The sequence below is a fragment of the Homo sapiens genome, chromosome 17 (genome assembly GCF_000001405.40).
Source record: "Homo sapiens chromosome 17, GRCh38.p14 Primary Assembly".
In the NCBI taxonomy this organism is placed as follows: Eukaryota; Metazoa; Chordata; class Mammalia; order Primates; family Hominidae; genus Homo; species Homo sapiens.
In genome coordinates, this window is record NC_000017.11 from 68260755 (window position 1) to 68266957 (window position 6203).

At 43.5% G+C, this 6203-nt stretch overlaps 1 protein-coding gene across 11 annotated transcripts in view; it reads left to right on the forward strand.

The window, feature by feature from the left end:
• Positions 1 to 6203, forward strand: part of ARSG (arylsulfatase G) — a 192850-nt gene that overhangs the window by 1585 nt on the left and 185062 nt on the right. The gene's annotated exons all lie outside the window — the stretch shown is intronic.

Below are 6203 nucleotides of genomic sequence, written 5' to 3' on the forward strand. Positions count from 1 at the left end.
AGTGCTGGGATTACTGATGTGAGCCACCATGGCCGGCCAAGAGTTGCAATATTTAGTAAAGCTCTTCCGACTAGTTGAGGCATTAAAAGAAAGCATTATGGAAAAAAAAAGTCTACTGGAAAATAGTTGAAACAAAATCTATTGAGGCAGTATGTTAAAACCCACAGACCTCCATACTTAACCCAGTATTGATTTCATCCCACTGTTTTCTTTAGTGTCTGCTCATGGATCAGTTTTTTCTTCTTTACAACTGACCCACCCATATAGTACACTACTGCTGGGCACTCTGAGACCCATCCATCCTCAGATGCTGAGCCGGTGGGTTCTCAGCACAGTGCTTTCAGTGTCCTATGGTTATCCAGCTGTTTCGTAGCAGCACAGACTCTCTTGAACTGTAACTGTCAATAGATAACATTTTTTTTCTCTTGTGTAACTAAAGGGAAAAAAGTCTATAACTCATTCATTCATTCATGTATTTTTTCATTCAACAATATTCATGGAGCACCGCCTACTGGGTGCCAGGCCCTGCTCAAAGCCTTGGGAATACAGCAGTGAACAAAGAACTCCTACCCTAATACACTAGTGGATGAGACAGAGAGTCAAGGAGTAAACAGATGCTTTATTTTATTTTATTTATTTTTTTGAGACAGAGTCTTGTCCTGTCACCCAGGCTAGAGTGCAGTGGTGTGATCTTGGCTCACTATATCTTCTGCCTCCTGGGCTCAAGTGGTCCTCCCGCCTCAGCTTCCCACGTAGCTGGGAGTACAGGCATGTGCCACCATGCCTGGCTAATTTTTGTAGTTTTTGTAGAGAGGGGTTTTACCATGTTGACCAGGCTAGTCTCAAACTCCCAGGCTCAAGCAATCTGCCCACCTTAGCCTCCCAAAGTGGATGCTGTTATAACCTAATAACAGCAAAGTAAATGGATAGAAACAAGTACCATTTTGAATAGGATAGACAGGAATGCCTCCCTAGGGAGGTGGCATTTGGAAGTGATCAAATTGAAGGGTCACACTGCATACACATCTCAGGGAAGGGAGTACCAAGCAAAGGAAACCACAAATGCTAAGGCCTGAAGCTTGCAACAGTAAGAACAATTCCAGAAACAGTAAGAGAGGCTGGGCGTGGTGGCTCACACCTGTAATCCCAGCACTTTGGGAGGCTGAAGCAGGTAGATCACCTAGGTCAGGAGTTCGAGACCAGCCTGGCCAACATGACGAAACCCCATCTCTACTAAAAATACAAAAAAAAAATGAGCTGGGTGTGGTGGCGGGTGCCTGTAATCTCAGCTACTCAGGAGGCTCAGGCAGGAGAATTGCTTGAACCTGGAGGCGGAGGTTGCAGTGAGGCGAGATTGTGCCATTGCACTCCAGCGTGGGTGACAAGAGCAAAACTCCATCTCAAACGAAAACAAACAAAAAAAAAAAAAAGAAAGGGCCGGGCGTAGTGGCTCACGCCTGAATTCCCAGCACTTTGGGAGGCTGAGGTCGGCGGATCACGATGTCAGGAGATCGAGACCATCCTGGCTAACACGGTGAAACTCCGTGTCTACTAAAAATACAAAAAATTAGCCAGGTGTGGTGGCGGGCGCCTGTAGTCCCAGCTACTCGGGAGGCTGAGGCAGGAGAATTGCTTGAGCCTGGGAGGCGGAGGTTGCAGTGAGCCAAGATTGCACCACTGCACTCCAACCTGGGCGACAGAGCGAGACTGCCCCCCCAACCCCCCCAGAAAAAGAGCCAGTGAGGCTAGTGTAGCAGGAGCAGAGGGAAAAGTAATAGTATCCATCAGGCAGTTCATGCAGGGCCCATTGCTAAGGATTTAGTTCAGACTTGTGCTGTAAGAGGATTACTGTGGCTGCTGTATGGAAAATTAAGGTGGGGGTGGCGTGTTCCAAGAGTGGAAGCAGGCAGGCCAGCTAGAAGACTACTGTAATAATCCAGCTAAGATGATATTGGCTTGGATCAAGGGTCCTGGTGCAGTTGGCAGAAGCAGTCAGCTCCTGGATATATTTAGAAAGGAGAGCCGATTGGATGTGTGGAGGAGTGGGTTTGAGGAGGATGATCCAGAGTTCTGCTGAGGACACTTTAAGTAGAAGATGCCTAGTTTTATATCCATGCCCTGCCATGCGGGCAGATATAAATCAGGAGCTCAGGGACAAAGTTGGGACTAAGAATGGGAGGTGCCAGTGCAGAGAGGGTGCTTAAAGTTTTGGTTGAATTCTAGGGTGTATAAGTTGTTAGGGAAGTTAGCGTGCTTGTTCTTGAGTTGCTGGAAAGGCATATAAATGACACAAATACATGGCCACAATCTGTATTTTCTCAATAATATTTGGTGAAATGTTCTGGGCATCAGGTTTCCCGTCTAATTTTCCATGTAGGAAATGGATAGTCATTGAAGTAGTTTTGATTTGGGTGAGTTGTTACATGGAAAGGGAAGTTGTAAGTTCTCTTGCCACTTTTCTTGTTCTGCACCTTTAGAGAGTCATTAACGAGAACTGAACACTAGGGGGACCCAGTTTCCTTACTTATGCAACGGCGGCTGGCCCAGCTGTACGCTACGATCGCCCTCACTTAGGACACATGCAATATAAACACAAATCTGAAAACAAGGGCAGCTTCTCTTTTATCAATGCAATGTATACTTATAGCAGTGATCATTTTTGCGTGTAACATGTCTGAATTCCTTAAATAGGTCATTTTAAGTAATGTGCATAACCATTACTATTTTTCTTTTATGAGACAGGGTCTCACTCTTTGCCAAGGCTGTGTGCAGTGATGCCATCTGGACTCACTGCAACCTCTGCCTTCTGGGCTCAAGTGCTCTTTCTACCTCAGCCTCCTGAGTAGCTGGGACCACAGGCATGAGCCACCACACCTGGCTAATTTTGGTTTCGCCATGTGGCCCAGGCTGGTCTTGAACTCCTGGGCTCAAGCAATTCACTCACCGTGGCTTCCTGAAGTGCTGGGATTACAGGGATGAGCCACAACACCTGGCCACGGTTTAAAGAATTAAAGACAATGGCTTCTAAACTCTAGTTCCCTATTGGTGAGCCCCATATTTGCAAACTTGTGAAACTAAGGATCATGATTTCTTTTTTATTTTTTCTTAATTTTTATTTTTTGAGATGGAATCTTGCTCTGTCGCCCAGGCTAGGGTGCAGTGGCGTGATCTCGACTCACTGCAACCTCCACCTCCCAGGTTCAAGTGCTTCTCCTGCCTCAGCCCCCCGAGTAGCTGGGATTACAGGCACGCACCAACATGTCCGGCTAATTTTTGTATTTTTAGTAGAGACAGGATTTCACCATGTTGGCTAGGCTGGTCTCGAACTCCTGACCTCAAGTGAGCCACCCGCCTCGGCTTCTCAAAGTGCTGGGTGGGATTACAGGTGTGCGCCACCACGCCCAGCTGAAGGATCATGATGATTTCTGATTTACAATAGTTGAATTGGAGTATGGAAATCTAAATGTAATAAATACCACCTGGTGATTTGAATCTGCGCCACAAGAATGCTGACATAGAATCCATTTTCTGTTTTATCACCAGATATTAAGCAAAGGGAAAGGCAAATAAATGCTGAAAAGCTACATTACATATTATTGGAGTATAAAATGTATAACTTTGTTAAAAGGTTTGGACACATTTTGTATTAGTTACGGATACATAGGTCTTAAAAGAGTACATGGTCTCAACTCTTTTTTTTTTGAGTTGGAGTTTCGCTCTTGTTGCCCAGGCTGGGGTACAATGGCGCAATCTTGGCTCACCACAACCTCCATCTCCTGGATTCAAGTGATTCTCCTGTCAGCCTCCCGAGTAGCTGGAATTATAGGCATGCAGCACCATGCCTGTCTAATTTTGTATTTTTAGTAGAGATGGGGTTTTTCCATGTTGGTCAGGCTGGTCTCGAACTCCCAACCTCAGGTGATCCACCCGCCTTGGCCTCCCAAAGAGCTGGGATTACAGGCGTGAGCCACTGCACCTGGCCCAACTCATTTTTATAAGTAGAATAATTTTACTTTTGGGTAGAGAAAGTCTACATAAGGTTTATACTGAAACCTCTTGAAGTCAACAAGCTTAAAGCAGAATCTTTTTAATCAGGGGAAATGAAAACATAATTAGCGGCCTGGTGTGGTGGCTCACGCCTGTAATCCCAACACTTTGGGAGGCCGAGGTGGGTGGATCACCTGAGATCAGGAGTTTGAGACCAGCCTGGCCAAGATGGCGAAACCCTGTCTCTACTAAAAATACAAAAATTAGCTGGGCGTGGTGGCACATGCCTGTAATCCCAGCTACTTTGGAGGCTGAGGAAGGAGAATCACTTGAACCCAGGAGGTGGAGGTTGCAGTGAGCGGAGATCACGCCACTGCACTCCAGCCTGGGCAACAAGGGTGAAACTCCATCTCAGAAAAAAAAAAAAAAAAGAAAAAAGAAAACGTAATTAACAAATGTGTTAGCTATAATGTCGGGCACGGTGACTCATGCCTGTAATCCCAGCACTTTGGAAGGCCATAGTGGGCAGATCACTTGAGGTCAGGAGTTCGAGACCAGCCTGGCCAACATGGCAAAATCCTGTCTCCACTAAAAATACAAAAACTAGCTGGGTGTGGTGGTGCACGCCTGTAATCCCAGCTACTTGGGAGGCTGACGCAGGAGAATTGCTTGAACTCTGGAGGTGGAGGTTGCAGTGAGCCAAGGTTGTGCCACTGCACTCCAGTCTGGGCGACAGAGCAAGACTCTGTCTCAAAACAACAACAACAATGAAAAAGTGTTAGCTGCTTGATCTTTCCTATTTTGGGGCAGTTATGATCTAAGAATTACTTTGACCACAATGAATCCTTTCCCATGGGTCAGGATGTTAGTTCTCAGAGCTTTGCTTCTGGCGGTACTGACCTGTGCCGGTGTTACAGATGTGTGGTGAAGGGGCTGGAAACTGTGGTCCACAGGCCAAATCCAGTCCACTGTTTTTTTTTTTTTTCAGCCTGAGAGCTAATAGTGTGTGTTGTTTTTTTTTTTTTAACATTTTTATGTGATTGAAAAAAAATATATTTCCTGTGTGAAAATCTTGTGAAATTCACATTTCAGTATCCGTAAATAAAATTCCATTGAAACATGGCCACGTTCATTCATTTATATATTGTCTGTGGCTGCTTTTGACCCTCAATGGCAGAGTTGACTAGACAGAGGCCTCATGGCCTGCAAAGCTTTAAATATTTACTATCTGGACCTTTACAGAAAAAGTTTGCCAACCCCTGGCATGTAGAGTCTGTGCTGTTTACTTACAGGTTGCAACAGTTCTTGGAATGACTCTGTAACTGGTTGTGGTCTTTAACTATTTGCCTTTATGACTTTTGATAGGCTTACTCTGGCTACCATGATATCATTTCATTCATGTATTTTTGATTAATAATTAAATTCCATTGATGCTTTCATTCTTATTTCAATTCTTAGATGAAAATATGCTTCTTCATTTGATTATATTGTTTAATTTTTATTTCCCTCTTCTGTTATTCATTACTTAATACTTCCCTTGAATTATTTAGTCTTTTTCTAAGGTGCTTTAAAATAGTTCGTATGAAACTCAACATAAAATAAAATCGTCCTGTTTTCAATGATCAAAGTATATATATGTATATATATGTATATATATACTTTTTTGTATAAAAAGTATATATATGTATATATATACTTTTTTTTGTATAAAAAGTATATATATGTATATATATACTTTTTTTTTGTATAAAAAGTATACAAAAAAAAAAAGACATAAAAAAGTTTAGGCTGCACATGATGGCTCACACCTGTAATCCCAGCACTTTGAGAGGCCGAAGCAGGTGGATCACCTGAGGTCAGGAGTTTGAAGCCAACCTGGCCAACATGGTGAAACCCAATCTCTAGTAAAAATACACAAAATTAGCCAGGCATGGTGGCGGGCACCTGTAATCCTAGCTACATGGGAGGGTGAGACAGGAGAATCACTTGAACCTGGGAGGCGGAGGTTGCAGTGAGCTGAGATTGTGCCATTGCACTCCAGCCTGGGCAACAAGAGCGAAACTCCATCTCAAAAAATAATAATAATAAATATAAGTAAATAAAAAGTTCAGTAGAAACTTCTTGGGAAACTTTATGTGTCTCTAGTAGAGTTAAAAGGTTTTGCAGAAGATAAACGTTAAAAAATTATTTATTTGGAGTGAATCTTTGGTGAGTTT